General features: G+C 39.6%; 1 protein-coding gene across 15 annotated transcripts in view; it reads right to left on the reverse strand.

Annotated features, from left to right (window-relative positions):
- COL4A6 (collagen type IV alpha 6 chain) overlaps positions 1-21,627 on the reverse strand; it is a 283,845-nt gene that overhangs the window by 146,455 nt on the left and 115,763 nt on the right. For all 15 annotated transcript variants that reach the window (XR_001755650.2, XM_047441813.1, NM_001847.4 and 12 more), the window contains exon 3: positions 8,680-8,760. Coding sequence is in view for 14 of the 15 variants with exons in the window: in XM_047441813.1 (XP_047297769.1) it covers positions 8,680-8,760 (81 nt within the window). In the remaining variant the exon portion in view is untranslated. The remainder of the gene's footprint in view (positions 1-8,679; positions 8,761-21,627) is intronic.

Raw genomic sequence — 21,627 nt, forward strand, 5'->3', positions numbered from 1 at the left:
CACCCTTTTTCAATTAGAAAAGCTTTGAGCATGCTTCCTCAAAACATGTATATTTATACATTGTTAACAATTATATAAATCATACACATGTCCTAATCTCTCCCCCATATATTAATGATAATATATATAAAATGAAACACACAATAAATAAAAAGTGTAAAAGGATGAGACAAAGATGAAATAAACAGCATGTTAAATGTCTTGTTAATTGTGATGGCTTTATTATATTATTAGCTAATACCTTAAGGCACAATTATATACTTAGGGCAAGATCTTTCATCATTGAGAATTGACATAAATCCATATTTCATATAGTCTTCATTATTCTTGCAATATGTTTTTGCTGACTTCTTGTCAGGTGTAATTAGATTACCATGGTTTTTACTTCATAATGAGGCTGATAAAAATCTCATTTTAGGAGTAGAAGTGTGAGCTCTGCCATGTGCTTACATTACTAGTATTATCTCCAATACATGGTCTATTTGCAGGAATCTTCTTAAGCTGCTTGTCCATTTTGTGAGGGTTAAATGTAGTTAGATAATATCCATAAATCTACTTAACTAGGTCCAAGGAAACATCAATATCTCTGGTATACATTCAGGAAAAAAAGTAAGGGCCCCAAGGACACCCCTCCATCTTGTGGAGCCCCCACTCTTCCCTCAGGATACCTTACAGAGTATGCACAACAGGAAAGCCGAAGAAAGCCAACTCACCTGATGAGGATGCCAGTGAAAATACACATGTTACATATAATAGTAATAATAATAGTCTAATACATAGCATTTAGTGAACCACACAGCTTTAAACACTTTATATAAATTATTTAATCCTAAATCTTAATTTCTTTCTAGTGTCTCTCAAATTAAATGTGAATAGAAATTTTCATATTTTCTTCTATACCCAACAAATTGACCTGCATGCCCTCCCCCCTCCACCCCCCCAATTTGCAGACCACTTATTCAGGCTCTGAGATTAAGAATCTTTGGATAAGTGGGATGCCTCTATAAAGTACATTGCAGCAACTCCTCCCTGCTATCCTGCTGCTGCAGTTTTCATGTGTGCTGATAAATGACAAAAAATAGAAACTGGAGTCAAAGATAAGTGACATAGGAAGCAATCCCAGGCAACTGAAGGCAGAGGGGAGAAACTAGGTGAGGAGGAGGCCATGGTGGAGAAACCAGGAATGAGGGATGGAAAGCTAGAAATGGAGCAAGAGGGAAGGAAGTCTTGAGGGAGAAAAGGGGAAGTTAGAGACTAGGGAGGAAAGGAAGAACAAGAAGCAAAAAGGGGCACACATCTGGCAACTGAAGGAGGGGGTAGACTAGGAGGAGATAATATGTCGCTTGTTGACCTGCAAGATGCTCACTCATGTCTTAATATCTGATGTCTCTGTCATATGACTTAGCAGGGACAGCAAAAGGAAAACTGAGTGGTCCCCCAAAATTTGTGATTTGTGCACACAGATATGCAGAGTGAGCATGGCTCCTCTCATCAGAGAGGCACATGAGATTTATACAAGCAATGCAAGGACAGGGCAATGCTTCATTTAAAGAGCGAGTTTCTAAAGCTAGAACGGTAAGCAGAATGACTCCTAGGCAAGGCAGGGAAGATTTTGTTGGGTTTTGGTGAAGAGAAATTCCTGTGACTCTTCAAATCACACCATCCAGATGACCAAGGAAGGAGAGTCCTGCACATTCCTGCAGAAGCACAATTTCAGCTGTCAGGAGCATCTAGAAGCAGCAGCAGTAAAGAAGCCACAGCAAATGAGTTATATCTGAGGCAGCTGCCAAGACACCATTCAGAGGATAGGACATTGTCAAACATCACCTTCCGTATCTCACTTCAATACTAGAAAGCACGATAATGCACTCTAGGGGCAAGGAACCATCAGGGTACAGTAATGTGGTGTCTGACTTAGATTGTCAGAGCTTGCAGGTCCTTTGAGATCACACATCCCAAATCTCTCATCCCACCTATGGGAAAACTGAGACCTTGAGAGGGGAAAGCACCAAACCAAAGTCATCCAGTTGGCAAAGCTCACGCATGACACTTAGGTCTCTGGATAGTTAAAGCAGTGTTCTTGTCTCCACAGCTGTGTATTTATCTATCTCCTTCTCCAGCTCCTTGGCTCTTCTCTAGCAGAAGCCTCCCTCACTAGTACATATAATATATTCCATAAATCCTGTAATGTCACAATACAATCAAATAAATGATTAAGATAACCACGAACATCTGCAGGGCTATGATTGCATCTTGATTCTGTGCAGAGACACATGTTTTAACACTATCATTAATTATCCTGAACCGAAAGAACCATATGTAAATATACAAAGACCCCTGATTTTCTACCCCGTCCTTTACTACCACCTAGTGGCTACTTCTCTGCTCAGACGTTACTTCCCCCCTCCCACAAGGAAGAGGAACAAGACCATCAACTTTGCAAAAGGTTAAGAGGTTTTTAATGAAAGGTTTGGTGGAGAGGAGGGTGGAAACAACGTCACAAAGAAAGTTAGGGATTACCTTTGACACAATTATTCATTAATGTTCTCATCTTGGAGAAAGAATGAATTGTTGGAAGTAAAAGATAAGCATTTTGCCAAGTCCCTTGCATTATTAGGTATAGAGTAAGAAGCAATCAAGCAAAAGAAGAGGCCAGGTCAAAAACTCAGAGGAGTTAAGGAAAGCAGAATCCCAGAGAAAACCATCGAAATCAGATGTGTGGTCCTTGCAGCTAACAGGAGCTAAAGAAGATGTGAAAATGACTGCCCCAGCTCTTTGCCTTCTTTCAGCAGCAGGGATTACTCCCTCAACAGGAGACTTCCCATCAACTTCACAGCATCCTAACAGCTAATCCTGGATGTGGAGAGTAGGGCTAGAACCACACCTATGCAAAATTGCTTGGTCAGTTGGTCAGTCTTTCATGAGACAGTGTGTAGTGCCTACGGACTCTGCAGAGTCTAAGAACACTGTCTCTGCCCTTTAATTGTTCTTAAGATAGTGGAGAGCAGACAAGTGAAGAGAAATGATGGTAAGAGTAGACAACCCCAGCCTGGCAGATCATGGAAATCTTCCCAAAGAGGTGAAATCTGTGCTCAGTTTTAAAGGATGGAAAAATAGAAGCAAGTCAACAGAGAAAGGGCAGAGCTAGTGGAAGACTAGTATATGTAGAAGGGGTGGCAAGTATAAAACCTGCAACACATTAAACAACACAGTAGCTCTGAGGACTATAAATAGTTCAGTGAACTCATATGTTTTTTGAAAATATTTGTCTTGTTTTGTTTTCTGAAGTGAGGAGGGTTCCTAATAATGAGAGATAATATTGGAGAGGTAGTCCAGGGCCAGGTAATAAAGGACTTTATAGGTTTTCTAGAGTTCGGATTTTATTGTGAAGTCCATGGGGGAGCCATTGAAGGACTTTAAGCAAGAGTTTCATGATACATATTTGTGTTTTGGAAAGATTATGGCAGGACAGTGGCAAATTGATGGGGGAGAGTGAGATTAGAGGCTGAGAGATCAGTCTTGAGGTTATTGAGGTAATTCTGGCAAGAAATTATATGAGCCTAGATTGGAGAAATGGGTATGGAGAGAAGTGTATGTATTCAAGTTCAATTTCAGAAGACAAATGGACAGGACTTAATGATGGATTGGAGGTAGTAGGGAAAGGAAAGAGAAGACAAGCATGACTCCCAGTTTTCTGGCTTGAGCAGCTCAGTGCTTGTTGATGCCATTTGTTGTGATGGGGAAGACATAGATAGAATTTAGGAAGGAGTACATCTGGTGGGGGTTGGTAATGGAGTTCTGTATAGACATGTTTATGGTGCCAGTGAAATCTAAGCAGAGATATCCAGCAAGAAATTGACAATGCCAATCAGAAACTAAGAAGAAAGATCTGAACTAGAGCTAGAGATTTAATATTTATCATTTTATGGATGGTGGCTGAAATCCCTGCAGTATATAAAACCACCCTGGGAGAGGCCTACACTGAGAAGAAAAGTGGGATGAGGACAGAATGCTGGGGGATCCCAATCACAGTAGGAAAAGAACTAGGAAAGGATAGCATAACATTCAAGGGAACAGAAAGTTTCAGGAGAGAAGAAGGTGTCTTATATAGCAGGGCCATCAAGGAAGATAAGGAATGAAAAATATCCATTGGATTTGGCAACAAGTAAGTTAGTAGTGATTAGTGTCAGCAATAGGGCCAGCCCACAAATGTCTGAGGAGTGAGAGGGCAAATATTTGTCATGAAATAAGGCACAAAACTTAAGTGCAGGCAGCTGGAGAAAGGCCTGGCCACCCAAGGAGGTGATATAAAATATGAGCTTTCATGTTGGAGCAGTAGAGGACAAAGACATTGGTGTGTGTTGTAGTGGGTAGTCAGGAGAGGGACATGAGGGGATACACAGGGAGGAGGAAAGATGTACATTGCAATTTCCTAATTAAGGAGAAAATGGAAAGGCTTCTTGGTAGCCATGGCACCAGTCAGCTGACACAGGGAATGCCAGATGTTTGCAGGAGGAGAATAAATTGAAGGGCTAGTTGTTAATGCATCTAGGTTCTGGAATTCATGGGAAACACATTTTGCGGCAGTGGAACAGCAGGATGTAGGCAGGATATAAGGAATTAAGAAACTTGGGCTCAGTTTCTCATGAAACTCAGGCTAACTTCATAAACTCTCAAGCTAGGCATAAAGTCCCAAGTCATAAAATGGGGGACAAACAGCCTTTACCTAGAGGGCAATCCAAGCATTCCCCATGGTTTTGGATTATCTGTGATAATGCTTCTTTAGATGGCATGGATAATTAGGGGGTCACCATGTTTTAGATAAACACCAGAACAATGTTACAACAGGGAAAACTCTAAAAGAGTATTAAGGAATACTAGGCTCAGAAGAAAACAAACTGCCCCCTCCTCCCAACCCCAACTTCAGACAAACACACACTGATGGAGTATAATGCAGAGATAGCTTTCAGATCTAGTAGGGAAAAAAAGAGAAGTGTTGGAAATGTCAACCTAAAATGTTTTGTTTGATCAAGTGGCAGGGGAAAAAAAATACCAGGGAAGAGAACAACCCGAAAGAATAGTTCTTCCAGATAATAACACCTAACTCCTAAGAAAGAAAAGTGAAAGTCATATATTAAGTTCAAATCTGAACATAGTGTTTATTTAACACTATGAGGCAGGTCATTTTTAAAGATTGCCATTCTCTTAAAGTTGGCTAAATAAGGTTTAGCTACTAGCAGGCTGGTGACCTTGCGCAAGTCACTTACCAGTTTCTTTATTTGTTGCATACATACAGGATTACAGCCCCTGAAAGAAGATGTTTTGGAAACTGCAAAGCAGTGCACCAACATTAGGTAGGGACTTTTACCAGGCAGGGCATACCTTTGAGAAATCTGTTTGAGATAGCTTCATCCAAAAAGGGTTGGATTGCAGTTTTGCAGGAGTGCTAGGTGTTGTGTAAATGTCCTAGTCAGTTCAAGAGGACTTTGGCAAAGGAAAAGTACACACTGCCCAGCAAGCTATGCGCTTGATGTTTCCCCAAGGCAGGGGGCAGGCCTGCCAAGGGCTGCAGCACATCTCAGGGTGACCCAATGTTCCGTTGCCCTCCCAGCTCAAGAGGAACAGCTTGAAATATAAATGGTGCCCTCTGCTCAGCTAAGGAGAACAGTCCCAAATCTTTCTGACATCTGCACACAAGGGGTACTGAGAGGCTGTCCTGCAGGGTCAATAGTGCTGGGGCCAATTTAAACAATTCTGCTTGGCCCTGGGAAGGTAGGAGGAAAGGGAGGATGACTAAACAGGACCTGGTGGTGCTTCAAGCATCCACGTTCAGTTTTCTGCATGAGCATCGGTCTTATCTATTTGGGAAATAGGACATTCCTGCTCTTGACTCATGAAATATGGCTTGGTCTGGTTCAGTAACTTTGACAAACATTCTTTGAAACTTTAGACTTTGCAAATACATTTTTAGGAACATATTTGACAGTGTGGAGTCTGTGTCTTTTAAATATTGAGGTAAAAATCTGTGCAGGGATATTCTAATTTCCTCCATCCTCCATCCCCTCAGCCACTCAGATGTTTTCAAAAGAGAAGCCAGACTAAGGCTCCAGATGTTTGAAACCTAAATGAGGGCTCCTCATGAAATAAATCTACTGCCCTCCATTTCCAGAGATCAAAATCTTAGCCAGGGGCTTAACAATGAGATCACTGTAGGCATGTTTGCCTGGTGTAGGACTGACCTCCGATCAGATATATAAGATTTTCTACTTTTAAAGGCTCCCCAACCCAACAAACAGCCCAGAGCTTCTCAGTTTCCTGGTTGTTGTGTCTAACTGCTTCTCACCCTGCCACAATCCATCAGGAAATGTCCTTTGTGTCAAACCTCAAATCTCACTTGCATCGATTTGGGTCATTTTTATTTGCTGTATCTTTGCAGAGGTAAAGTAAGTCAATAAGAATCATCAGTTAGGAAAGTGGCTAAAGAATATGTCCAGGAAATTCACAGAAGAAATATGAATTTCCAGGTAATATGTGAAAAGACATTTAAACTCAGGGAATTAGAATGATTTTCACTCATCATATTAGCAAAAATATCAAGTGTTGGCAAGGGTGTAGAAAGATGGGCATTTTTGTGCAATGCTGATGGGAATATAAATTGGAGAATACTTTGTAGCCTAATTTGTCAATGGCTTTGAAGGTTAAAAATGTCTATTACCCTTCTACCAGGTAATTATGATCCTTAGTATCTATGCTAGAGATGTATCTATGCTTGAGCTAGTATCTATGCTTGAACACAAGGAGGCCTACTCTAAGATTTTCACTGTAGCTCTGCCATTTTACAAATAGCAAAAATTTAGAAACAACCTAAGTAGCTGTCAAAAGGGTGGCTGAATTAAACTATGGGGTAGAGAAAAAGATCTTAAGGACACGTTAAGTTTACAAAAGGGGCCCAGAATATATACTTAGAATTCTATTTTGGAAAAGAAAATCAGATAATGAGACTATTTTTAGACATACGTGTACATATCTCTGATTATGTATGGAAAAAGATAAGAAAGACAATAATGGCACTGAAAGAGCACCAAGAGAGATTTTTGCTTTGTCTATACTGCTTGCATGTTATTCAAGAATGTGTTCATATATTTATTGTGAAATTTTTTTTCTAGAATGTTTCAGAGGTGAGGGCATGGGTCTTGGTGGCTACAGTGAACATGTCTTCCGTGAGAGGCAGCAGTAGATAAGCTGGTGACGTAAATAGATGAGAAATCAAAGGACCCAGATAAAGGCCTGGAATCTGTCATCACTTTGCTATGTGATCCCAGGAAGTAATTTTTCTTCTGCGTCTGTTTCCTCTGTACAATCAACAAATAAGATGTGAAGCTTACTAAGATACCTTCCCTTTCTCATATTTTACGATTCTCTAAGTCCATGTCTTTAATGTAGAATAGATCTAGTCCCCTTTGATGAGAAGATGGATTTTTATTCTCTTCCTTCAAATTCTGGCATAGTTTGACATTTTACTTTACCCCAAATGTAAGATAATGAAAGAGAAGGTGGAACGGTCACTGTGTTCCCTGTTTGGCTATGGGTTTGAAAGTTTGGTTGACCTATTTATAGTACTACTTTATTTTGACAGTATAAGCCCTTAGTCTTCTTTGAGTGTGATGAGAGTGTATTCACAATGCTAGAAATGGGAAGTTCTGAACTCTGTAGGATGGCCATTAATCCTGGAAACACACACACACACACACACACACACACACACACACACACACACACACAGATGGATCATCCCTAGTCCAAAAATCCAAAATCCAAAATGCTCCAATGAGCATCTCCTCTGAGTGTCACATCAGTACTCAGGAAATGTTGGGTTTTGAAACATTTCAGATTTCAGATTTTTGAATTAGGGATGCTCAACTTGTGTATGTGTCTAATTTTTTTTTCAGATTGAACCCCTTTCAACACTTTTCCTGGGTTATAATAAAAATGCATTTATTTCAGTGAAAATCATAGATACAAATATCTAGGGGCTATGCATATTCAGGGATTGATAGAAATGTTGTGTCAATGACTGAGTTCATTGCAATTTGCACAACAATTTGAACTGTGCATTGCTAATGAGGGACAATACACGGACTGTGTCACAACACTTTAAAACGTATCCTATGTTGTAATTTAATACCTATAAACCATTCTTTATGTATCGTCACCTATATTTCTGGACTTTATGGCTACCTTGTTCTCTTGAGTCTATCACTAACAAGCAGGGTGATTTTGGACAAGTCACATCCACAGTCTGTAGATAACAATTGGAACACCTGTTCCCCAGACTGGGAGGGAAGAATCAAGTGAGCTATGAAAATGTACACTTATCTACAAACATTGTCACAATCTGGCTCTCTACAACCTAATTGGCTTTTGGAAAAACTCCAGATGAAACTCTGAGGAAACCTTGGCATTAAGTGAATGAAGGAAACCTCTTCTTGGTACCTCAGAGAGTTTGACCAATCTAACTCTGACTATCATTAGTTAGCAAAGCTCCTTCCAGCTGGTCCTCATCACTTTGCTTGTTCCATGAGGTCATAAGAGTAAATTCTAAGCAGTTTATTTCTAAAGAAAACAGATAACAGCTCCCATGCCACTATTTGTCTTTCAACAATGAAATAAGCAACTTACTCTCGCTCCTTTCTCAGGAAAACACTGACAGCTCCCACTGCAGTCCTGGCCCCCACATGGCTTTCCATAAGACTTCTCTCCCTATTAAAAAAAGGAAAAAGTTAATAAACCATGTGAACCAAGAAGCAATGTTGTCCCAGCAGACCTAACTCTTAGCTTCTTTACCAAGTAAATCTATTGCGGCTTAATGATCTTATCTGATGTTGTCAGTAGTCAAATGAAATAAAAACTAAACTTAAGCTAGCATCCTTTTAGTTCAGGTCTATACCTTATCAAATAAATAGCCGGTTTGGGAACTTTGCTTTAGACACCTCCTCACTGGTAGAAATTCCAGGCACAATATACAACAGAATATCTTTACTTGGGGGCTGGAAATAGACTCTAGACATATTCCTGTGAAAACAGGTGTCCAGTGACTTATGGATTTGCACTCATTGGTAAAGAAGTAGCTGTAGCAGATAACTTGAGTGAAATTCAAGTGCTAGATATGTAGTGACAAATGAAAATGGCTACCTTGTACTCTGCTCTCGGAATTGTTCTCCTCAAACTCCATTTCAGCACACAATTCACACCTTACAGTGGCACTCCCATGCCCAGTTAGTCAGATCCAAATTCCTCAGTTGGTATTTTACAGTACCCCCCAAGCTCTCTAACTTCATTTTTGCCTCTCCTCTGATTGATCGTGATGATTGCTAGCTGAATTTCTGCAAGGCCCCCACATGACCTGCCATGTGCTGATCCTCACCAACCTCATCTCCTTTCTCTCTGGCTCACTCTGCTTCAGTCACACAGGAGGGCGTTCATTCTGTTCATTAAAAACATCAAGCCTGTTCCTGCCTCAGGGCCTCTGCCCTCGCTGTTACTTTTTTCTGCAATGTTCTTCTCCTAGATATTTTTTAAAAATCCTGGCCTCTTTTCATCACTCAGGTCTCAGTTCAATTGTCCATTCTCAGAGAGGCCATTGCTGAGTCTCCTGTTACTTCCAATCATATCATTTCATTACCTTTTCATCGTTAGACATTCTCTTTACTCCTACTAGAATGTAAGCTTCATGTAAGTAGGGACTTCATTGTTTTGTCCAACACTGCATCTCCAATGTCTGAAACCATGGATGACACTCAAGGAATTTTTGGTGACTATATTAATGGAGTTAGGATTTGAACTCGGGTCTGACTAACTCCAAAGTCTTGACCTTAACCCTTAAGCCTTAGTGTTTTCTAAGTCCTTTGTCTACCAGAACCTCAATACAAGGACTCAACAATGAGAAAAACTGCCATTCTGACCATATCCACCTTGGGAAAAAAGGAAAACATAAATTCTAACTGTTATCTGTAACAAGAACTTTATCTCTGGGATGGATTTAGTACCATCCAACTTTTTTGTTTAATGTTGGATGTTTTTTCCAAAGAGAAAGGCATATTTATGAGCTGACCTCACACTTAATCATTCTTGCCTCTGTGTACTGTGTGCCTTTTCCTAATTCCTAGAGAGCACTGTGAATTTCTCAGATGGTCTCTTATCTCTTTAGACATTCCCACAACACTTTATCATCACAACACCTTGGTAATAAGGTAAAGATGGCAAAGCTATGACAAAATATTACTATTTTAGATTCCAAACACCTTCCTTATACGTTATATTTTATCTCTCTTATAAGCCCTTGACATGGTAAGTGTTATTGCACACTTTCCAGTTTACCTTCCATTTTATGGAATATAGGACAGGCAAGTTTTAATAAGGGTGAGATCAAGAGGTACTCTGGCAGGAGGAAGCTAGGGGCTGGAATACAAGAGAGAACTGAGAGAGCAGCATTGAATTTTATCTTCACCTATGCTTACACCCTTGTCTAATGTTGAGTACTATATTTCTTGGTATTATGGATAATTTGTATTTCCTTCTCCATACATTTCTGTGTTTTCTAAGCAGTCTTCAACAAGCACATATAATTATTAAGAATACAAAATAATACATAATATTAAGTGATAAAAGTCATCCCCTTCAAGGAAGAGAACTTGACAGGTGTTGCCAAAGTTGAAATGGCATCTATTTGGAGCTATGGCCTACTTCCAAACAATGTCTGTTTGAGTGTTCCATAAAATTGGTCTATAGTAGATGAAAAATTTCCAGACCCCTCAAGCATGGAGCAAAGAGGCTGGAAGCAAGGGAACTGGATAAGACAGGGAAAAAAAAAACAATAGCAGGAGCTGAACAAAACCATAAGAATCAGAAGCTAAGGTTTCTTAGGAACTCGCCAGAACAAGGAGGCAAAGACACTCAGCTAACAGGAAATCATCACTGTCCTTTGTCACTGAGGAAAGTAACCAGAGAAGCCCTGTTGGCCACAAGGCAATTTCCTGTAATGCCAGCCCTGGCAGTTTCCCCAGGAGTCTTCAATTACAGTGAGGTGGGAGGAGTGAAGGCAGGCTTCCAGGGAACATGACCAGACTAGACCTGAGAAGCCTCTGCCTTATCCTGGCTTGTCTGGGGACACTCCACCCCCTGCTTGACCAGGCCATGTGGCTGGTGTCATTTCCACCTTGGAATGCTCTCCCTTTTCTCTCAAGATCAAGCCCATCTTATACCCAAGAAAATTAAAACTGGAAAGGCTTTGGGAGATCATCTAATACAGTGGTTCTTAACTCTATCCGAGCAGTACTTTATTATTTTTATTATAATTATTACTCTCCCTTGCTATCCTAAAAATAAATTCATAGGAATAAGTTATAATAAAAATGTAAGCAAAAAAATTTTTTTAAATCTTATTATTATTATACTTTAAGTTTTAGGGTACATGTGCACAACGTGCAGGTTTGTTACATATGTATACATGTGCCATGTTGGTGTGCTGCACCCATTAACTCGTCATTTAGCATTAGGTATATCTCCTAATTAAGCAAAAATTTTAAAAGCACATATTATGCCCTAACTGTATTGCAAAGAAAAAAAAAGAAGAAAAGTAATTTATATTAAAAAGATATGTATTTCAATATATAAAAGCTCATACATGGCTATATTAGAAGATGTCATGAAGTGGTAGTCAGAGGCCAACAGCTCTATAGAGAATTATTATGAATGTAACAGGCTGCTGACACAGAATGACACTGGGATGTAGTATTGATGATTCAAGTATCATGAATGCAGTTGCTATTAGTAAGTGCAGTGATTCTCTCAAATGATAAACAACTCATGGTGATGATCGTGGGTGGGGGGCAGGAAGTACAATCTTCCCTTTATTTACTGGGCAGTTTTATTTGTAACAAGAAAACCATGAAAAACTTCATTTCAATATGTAAAATGTGGTTATGTTCTAGACTTAAATAATTATAAACAGTTTTCATCTCCATGAATATCCAGAGGTCTTCTCTATCCTTCAGGATGCATAGTATTCAGAACACCTGTCATTCCTGGCAGCCACCTAGTAAGTGTCCCTGACTCCCTGATCATTTTGACAATCACAAATGGCCTCACAAGTTCCAAAATACCTCCTGGGGTGTACTTTTGTTAAGAAGTATTGGTCTAATCCAAATCACCCATTTTACAGATGATAACACTGAAGAAGATTATTTTGGCTTGGGTCACACTGTTAACAAGTGGATTCTAACACTTCTGAACATAATGCAATATTCTTCCTACTGTTCCGTACCTCTCAAGGCCAAATTCAAGTTCTATATTTTCCATGACCACTTCAGCTTCGGTGAACCACAATACTCCCTAAGTCCCATTCACTGGGTAAGTGTCTCATGTTGTTATGGGAGAGTCTTTGCAATGTTCCTAAGGTTGCATAGCTGAGAGTCTTGTTTCCTCATCCAGACCATAACGTTTATAAGGGAAAAGTCAATTTATTTTACTCCTTTGTATAAAACCACAGTGTTAAGGGGCAAAACTATGTTCTAGCCAATATCTGAGGCAGTATCCCTTAATTAGGAATATAAGTTCTGGAGTCAGTCTGTACAGGTTTAAATCCCAGCTCTAATATTTCCGAGTTGGATGAACTTAGGCAACTGACTTTATCTCTCTGAAACCCAATTTTCCTATCTGTAAAATGAGGATGGCAACAGTATCTACTGTACAGAGTTTGATTGGAGGACTCAATAAGATTAAGCATGCAAAACATAGTACCTGGCTTATAGTATGCACTAAGTGTCAGCTATTATTATTATATTAACATTAGCTATACTAGACTACTCAGCATTTTTTGCAACATTCTGGTCTCTCTCTGGAGCTCCTTATCAAGTGCTGTGCACTGGTATGATCATGCCAGTTTGTCTATAGCTGATGTTCACTTTGCTTGGTCAGGATGTCCATTTGGATTTGTTGATGTCTGTATATGTAATTATCTGAATCAAGAACATAATCACATTTTATACATTGAAATGAATTTTTCATGGTTTTATTGTTACTGAATAAAAATGCCTAGTAAATAAAGGGAAGATTGTACTTTTTTCCCCCAGATCACCACTACAAGTTATTTCTCATTTCAGAGAATCACTGCACTCACTTAACTTTTTTTTGAGATGGAGTATCACTCTGTCACCCAGGCTGGAGTGCAGTGGTGCGACCTGGGCTCACTGCAGCCTCCGCCTCCCAGGTTCAAGCCATTCTCTGCCTCAGCTTCCTGAGTAGCTGGGATTACAGGCACCTGCCACCACACCCAGCTAATTTTTGTATTTTTAGTAGAGATGGGGTTTTGCCATGTTGGCCATGCTGATCTCGAACTCCTGGCCTGAAGTGATCCTCCCACATCGGCCTCCAAAATTATTTTTAAATGCTAAAAATATTTAGCAATTAGGGTTAAAGGTTAGGGTTTGCTAAACCATAACCCTAAATATTGCTAAATATTTTAAATATAATCTCTACTCCACACATCTATCCTTTTGCTGATGCTGGTTCCTATGTCTAAAATGTTTTCCTACTCCCTTTACCACAAACAAAACTTCTATTCATTCTTTTAAACCCAGCTCAACCATCTTTTTGGTGAAGACACCCTTATACACTGCCTCCCTCTCAGCAATTTCAGGAGCAGTTCTTACTCTCTTCCCTTTGCTGATGGAGTTTTGCAGTATTTTACTCAATTTGATTCTGCCATCAGACTGGGATCAGGACCATGTCTTATGCTTCTCTGCAGCCCTGTCACAGCAGATATTCAGTGAAGGGCTGTGAAATAATTGCTCTCAGAACAATTGAGTTACAAGTGTTAGAGATCAGCATCACTTGGGATTCTTCGTTTCTCCTGGGTCTCCTGAAATAAAGAGTTACATCACAGTGCCTCTACCACCAACCAATAGGCTTTTCTAGGCATCACCAGTGCTTTCTTGCATGGGGGTTGGCAAGGATGACAATGATGCAAAAGGTAACCCAGGAAGCAAGATAGGAAGTAACAGAGGCTTAGCTGAAGTGATTGGATTGCAAAGGCCAGTTATCTTTGTGAGCAATTTTCTCCAGAAGCTTAGGTCACAGAAGACTGGCTGTGTATAATTTTATTCTCACCATTCATTCAACAAATATTTATTAAGTGCCTACTATGTACTAGGCACTGTGTTAGAGATGGGTGATAGTGGCAGTATCATACAGCCATAAGTGAAACCAAGTCCTTGTTTTCATGGTGTTTAAAATTTAGAGGGAAGACAAACAGTAAATGAATATTACATACATATTTGTCAGTTGATCTGTATTATGGAGGAAACTAAATTGGGTAAGAGGGTAGGAAGTGTTGGGGTTAGGTTGTTATTTTATATAAGGAAGTCAGAGAAGGCCTTGCTTATAAGGGGACTTCTGAGCAGAAAACAGTGTTTTTCAAAGCACAGTCCTTGGCCCAGAATCATCAGTCCTGGGAAATTGTTAGAGTTGTAAATTCTTGTCTCCTCCACGATCCACTGAATCATAAACTTTAGGGTGGGGCTCAGAAATCTATGTTTTAACAAGCCCTTCAGGTGATTCTGATGCACATAATGTTTCAGAAACACTGCTATAGAAGATGAAGGAATGAGTTATGTGAATATCTGAGGAAAGAGTATTCTAGGCAAAGGGAACAGCAAGTGCAAAGGCAGTAAATGAGAGAATATGCTTGATGTTTTGGCTACAGCAAGGAGGCCAGAAGCCTGGAGTTCAGTGAATAGGGGGATGGGATACATGGTAAAGCCAGAGTTGGAGCAAGAGCCAGATCATAGAAGATTTCATAGACCAATGTAAGAGCTTTGCCCCTGGAAATCCACTGAAGGGCTTGGAACATATGAGTGACACCAGTTGATTTACTTTTTAAGGAGGATTACTCAAGCTGCCATGTGAACTGTAGTGGGGCAAGCACAGAAGCAGAAAGGCCACCTAGGAGGCTGTTGCGGTAGTTCAGCAGGATGATGGATGTTTATAACAGAGAGGCAGTTATAGAGTCTGACAGAAGTAAAATGATTCTAGGTATGTTTTAAAGGTAGAGCTGCTAGGATTTGCTGATGGATTGGATGTGGGATGTGACTGAAAGGGAGAAGTCAAGAATGACTCCAAAGTTTCTGTACTAGGCAACTACAAGGATGCAATTGCCATTTATTCAGATGGAGAAAACTGTTGGAGAAGCTTGCTTGGGAAGCGTCAGGAATTCTGGTTTTGAGATGTGTATAAGATATTCAAATGGAGGAGTTGAGGAGCTGGCTATGGAAGTCTGGAATTCAAGGAAGATGCCTTAGTCAGTATAGACTTGACTACGTTGTGGTAACAAACTTAAGATCGCAATGGTTTAGCACACAAAGTTTGATTTCTCACTTTTGTCATAATCCTGAATGGTAGTGCCTAGGTTTTCTTCTAGGGTTTTTATGGTTTTAGGTCTAATGTTTCAGTCTTTAATCCATCTTGAATTAATTTTCGTATAAGGTGTAAGGAAGGGATCCAGTTTCAGCTTTCTACATACGGCTAGCCAGTTTTCCCAGCACCATTTATTAAATAGGGAATCCTTTCCCCATTGCTTGTTTTTCTCAGGTTTGTCAAAGATCAGATAGTTGTAGATATGTGGCGTTATTTCTGAGGGCTCCGTTCTGTTCCATTGATCTATATCTCTGTTTTGGTACCAGTACCATGCTGTTTTGGTGACTGTAGCCTTGTAGTATAGTTTGAAGTCAGGTAGCGTGATGCCTCCAGCTTTGTTCTTTTGGCTTAGGATTGACTTGGTGATGCGGGCTCTTTTTTGGTTCCATATGAACTTTAAAGTAGTTTTTTCCAATTCTGTGAAGAAAGTCATTGGTAGCTTGATGGAGATGGCATTGAATCTATAAATTACCTTGTTATCCACCATGATCAAGAGGGCTTCATCCCTGGGATGCAAGGCTGATTCAATATATGCAAATCAATAAATGTAATCCAGCATATAAACAGAACCAAAGACAAAAACCACATGTTTATCTCAATAGATGCAGAAAAGGCCTTTGACAAAATTCAACAACCCTTCATGCTAAAAACTCTCAATAAATTAGGTATTGATGGGACGTATCTCAAAATAATAAGAGCTATCTATGACAAACCCACAGCCAGTATCATAATGAATGGGCAAAAACTGGAAGCATTCCCTTTGAAAACTGGCACAAGACAGGGATGCCCTCTCTCACCACTCCTATTCAACATAGTGTTGGAAGTTCTGGCCAGGGCGATTAGGCAGGAGAAGGAAATAAATGGTATTCAATTAGGAAAAGAGGAAGTCAAATTGTCCCTGTTTGCAGACGACATGATTGTATATCTAGAAAACCCCATTGTCTCAGCCCAAAATCTCCTTAAGCTGATAAGCAACTTCAGCAAAGTCTCAGGATACAAAATCAATGTACAAAAATCACAAGCATTCTTATACACCAATAACAGACAAACAGAGAGACAAATCATGAGTGAACTCCCATTCACAATTGCTTCAAAGAGAATAAAATACCCAGGAATCCAACTTACAAGGGACGTGAAGGACCTCTTCAAGGAGAACTACAAACCACTGCTCAATGAAATAAAAGAGGATACAAACAAATGGAAGAATATTCCATGCTCATGGGTAGGAAGAATCAATATCGTGAAAACGGCCATACTGCCCAAGGCAATTTATAGAGTCATAATCCAATAAGACACAAGCAGCTCCTCTTAGTGGCCTTCTCCAAAGGTGACTTGGATTTCCAAGCTGCTTTTGTCTAGCAACTCCACTATCTCAGATCCTAGTAACTGCTCTTAATTCCCCATTACTGGAAGTGATACATCTCTTGTGTTCATATTCTCTTTAGAAAGAACCAGACATACTGGAAAACCTAACAACATGGAGAGTAGGAGAGAACATGGTTTATCTGGAGATCACCATCTCTGCTATCATTGTTATATAAAGCCAAGGGGTTAGGTGTGGTGGCTTGTGTCTGTAATTTGTAATCCCAGCACTTGGGAAGCCAAGGCAGGGGGATCGCTTGAGCCGAGGAGTTCGAGACCAGCCTGGGCAACATGGTGATACCCCATCTCTACAAAAAAATTAGACAGGTGTGATGGCATGTGCCTGTAGTCCCAGCTACTCAGGAGGCTGAGGCAGGAGGATCACTGGAGCCCAGGAGTTTGAGGCTGATCGTGCCACTGCACCCAGCCTGAGTGACAGAGTGAGACCCTCTCTAAAAAAACAAAAAGCCTCCAAAGTAGATGAGATTACCAAGGGAGTGGAGGTAGATAAAGGGAAGAGAATACACCCTAGAATTAAGCACTGAAGCATGTCAGTGTTAAGAGAGCATGAGGAGGTACTTGAGAAGGAATCTGAGAGGGAGTAGCCAGTGAGATGAGTAAAGAATCAACAACCAGAGGGGTCCTGGAAAGCAAGGAGGAAAAAAAGTGATAAACTTAAATTGTTGACAGGTCAAGTAAGACAAGATATGAAAACATACCAATGGATTTAGCAATGTGGTGATCTGTACCAGATAAATTTCAGTGGCTTAGTGTGGCTAAAAGCCAGATTGCAAGGGGTTCAATACAGAGTGGGAAGTGAGGAACTGGAGTAGTCCAGGATAGCCAATTATCTAAAGGGGTATTGGGAATGGAAGAAATGGCACTGTAGCCAGAGAGGGACATGGGGTAAGAAGTATGTTTAATTTTTTTGTTAAGATTGGAGATATTGAAATATATTAGTAGTTTGAGGGAATATGTGTTGACACAGGAGAGAGATGGAAGAATTGTTGGGGATGACTTTAAGTGTACAAGAGAGGATGGTATCTAATACAGAAGTTGATGGAATGCCCTTAGGTAAGAGAATTGAAAGTTCATCCACAGTGACAGGTGGGAAGGCAGAATACATAGATACAGATGCAGGTAGGGTAGTTGATGTGGTAATGGAAGCATGCAGACATTCTCTTCAACATACTTATTTTTTCCTCTCAGTGAAACAAGAATCAAGGTTATCAACTGAGAATAAGAACATGAAGGAGTTACTGGAGGTTTGTGGAGAAATAAGGTGTGACATGATCAGTTAGGAGAGCAAGGAGAAGGCATGAACTAGGGAAATGTGGCAGGACTGCAAGGCAGCTCTAAGGGCCCACTTGAATTTGGTGGTCATGGACTTAAACGAACATCAGTTATCAATATTGTGAGGTTTTTGGTAGACTTGTCCAGCCACGTGGATACATATGAAGATTAGAGGAAGAGTTGGATTTAATCAAGGTTGGGGTCTGCTAGGTGAGGATGATAAAGGAAAAGAGGGGCAAGGGAGTCAAGGGTATATGGAAAGAAGTGATTATGATTATGGACCATAGGATCTAGGTTTCCTGTGGAAGGAACTGAGCACAGGCGGTGGGCAAGGGGCAGTAGAAAGGTAGTAGGATCAATGGATGATTGACTCTGGCGGGGTTAAAGAAATGCATCGGTTTTAGGATTGTGACTATGTCTCAGAAGAAAGAAGGTGTGGTCCTGTAAAGACGTTAGCTCTGTTAATACTCTGCACAGTGCAAAACAAGACAGTCCTTGGAATATAATAAATTTGTCTTGAATTAGCACAGTAAATGGTTGTTGAAATGGCTGCTCATTCCTGGTTTCATACAGCATAATGAAACTATCCCCTTTTAATAACTTCAGGTTTCTTCAAAATGTCTTTCACATAAAATCTCATTTGATTTTCCACCACAAATCTGAAATAGATATTTTAGATGTATGTGTCTGTGTAGAGACATAGACACGTATGCAACATTACAATGATTTATTTATATCTTCACCTACCCTCCTAGACATTAGGTTCCTTTGAGATGAAGATCTTGGGTTCACTATAAGACAAATCAATGGAAATCCTTTAAGCCTCAATTTCCTGCACTATAAAATAGGGATATTTTACTTTATAGGGTTTAGTGAGGTTAAATAAGATGATGCTCTTTGTCAAGTGCTTGGTATATTGAGAATACGCTCAATCTATGTCAGCTGGTATTATTTACAATTACAGTCTCTAGTACTGTGCATGTGGATGCCTAATAGGTTCTCATTCAATGACTAATTCCCATTTTAAAGATGAGGAAATGAAAACTCAGCTGTTAAGTGACTTTTTCAACATAGAAAGTTAAGTATCAGAGTGGGGATAAGAAACCAGATACCTTCAACTGTGTGACTCTTGTTTTTTTGTTTTGTTTCATTTTGTTTTTTGTTTTTGTTGTTGTTTTTTATTGGAACTGCTGCCACTAGTTCCAGGAATTGGCCTGAAACTTAAAAAGTCAGGAAAAAAAAGATGAGGGTTGACAGGTGCCTATTTGGGGGTACTTTTTATCAATATTACTCTACTTACTTCACAATATTATTTGTACTGTGTGTACATTTTCTAAATAACCTTCATATATAATTCTTATAACTACTTTTGAAACGAATTATTTTTCATATGACCATTTTCCAGATTAAAAAAACATCCTGAGTTTCAGACAGTTGGTATCATTTGCTAGTTAAGTGACAAAGTGAAGAGAGCCAAACATCTAAAAGAGAAAAATAATACAAGATGCTGAGGTATATATATATATAATCTTCATTCCCTGCCAGTGGCCTCAGGGTCCAGAAATTCTGAGGCCTCTTTGGCTAGATCAGACCTATCCTGGGGCCACATTCACAATAATGGCTACCGTGAGCATCTGTTATGTGCCTAATTAAGTAGTTCACTTCTGTTATCTCACTGAACTGTTCCACCTCCACCATGAGGTAGGCACTATTACCATTATCATTTTACAGATAAAAAAGCTGATGCTTCAAGGGGTTAGTTTGCCTTCCCAAGGTCAGTCAGCTAGGGAGCAGCATAAATTCAGACCCAGGTTTGGCTCAAAATCTTAGAGCTCTTCCCTTAAACTAGGCCCCGTTTAACATCACCCTACGTTTATGAACTTCTTGCTAATAATACAAAGAATCTGGCTTTACTTTGAGCAATTCTAAAACAAAACCTAAAACCTTTGCATTGAAATGTGAACATACACACACACGGGCACACACACACATACACACACACAAACACACACACACATTCAAACACACATTAAACCAAGCTGGGTTCTGTCCCATGTTTAATGTGCATTTGCCTTTTAAGAACAGCTCCCTATGAGTTTATGAATGAAAGACTCTGAGAAGAGAAGGAAGTGATCTGTGGGAGCTGGCTTCCTACCATGTGGGACTTGTCACCTATACTTTATTTTAAGGAAGAAGCTGACACCAGACATTTCTGAATATTTCAGGAAGCCATTTCCCTCCAACATCTGCTCAACTGTGTTCACACCATAGATAAAAACAACTGATGGCATCAGGGGTAAAAGAGGAACAGGCATGCCAGGTTTCACTTGAAAAGCTCTAGCCAGCCAGTATGAACCAGGGCCTGAGGGGATATAGTACTACCCAGTTAGACCTTAAAGTAAATCCAACAAGTAAATGCTTAACACACAAACAGGCAAACTAAATGTTGCCCGTAATGTTCTTAAAACAGAAGCCTCTTTTTCCTCTGTTAGTAAGAATTTACTGAGTAGCTATGAAAGAACAACACTTCCCAAGGCTAGTCATAGGGAGCATGTGAGGAATACTCAGATTTAGCAAATAAAAATACAGGATGCACATTAAGCTTGAATTTCAGAAAAACCACAAGTAACTTTTTAGTATGAGTATGTCCCAAATTAGTATATGTTCCATGCAATATTTGGGGATATACTTATACTTAAGATATATTTGTTATTTATCTGCAATTCAAATTTAACTGAGTGTCATCTGTTTTGTCTGAAAACCCTACAAGTAGCATCATGGCACACTTGTGTGACAAATTCAGTTATGATGTGTGTCAAAAATAATTGTTAGTAATAATAGTCAAAATACAAATTCTTCCCCTTAATTTTTCAGAAAATTAAGAGGGGATTCATGTTTCTTTCTGTAATTGAGTCACTCCTACTCATTTGCTTTCTTATATGCTTTCCAAAGTAGGAGGGGAAAGTAGAGTTATAACTAGCATTGCAATGATTACATTTATTCATTTACTCAGCAAGTATTTATTGAGTGCCTGCTGTATGCTTGCTAGACAATCTTTAATGCACACCTGCTATGTATAAAGGCACTGTGTTGGGCACTATGGAAAAAAGACAAATATTTAGAAAACATGTTCCTTGCACTCAGGAAACTAAAAGCTTGATACAGGAGATAACTGCAGTCAAAAGGAGAAAGTGAGAAGTATCATTGGAGAAGATAAAAAGATATGCTTCTAAAACTTGGATGTGATTGTTCTGTCTTCACTCAAAAGCCTTTGATAGCTCCCCATTACCCACAAAGTTCAAAATTTAAGCATGATATTTAAGGGCACTCAAAATTAGGCTCAACCTACCATTGCAAGTCCACCTGTCACCCCCTCTAGTCATAGAAGTCTATTTATTATTATTCCATTTTCCTGGAATACCTTTCATGTTTCATCCATTTCTCTCGAAATTCTAGTCACATCCGTTCTTTTTCCTTTTTGTAAAAACTTTACTGAGATAG

Source organism: Homo sapiens, chromosome X (assembly GCF_000001405.40).
Source record: "Homo sapiens chromosome X, GRCh38.p14 Primary Assembly".
NCBI lineage: Eukaryota > Metazoa > Chordata > Mammalia > Primates > Hominidae > Homo > Homo sapiens.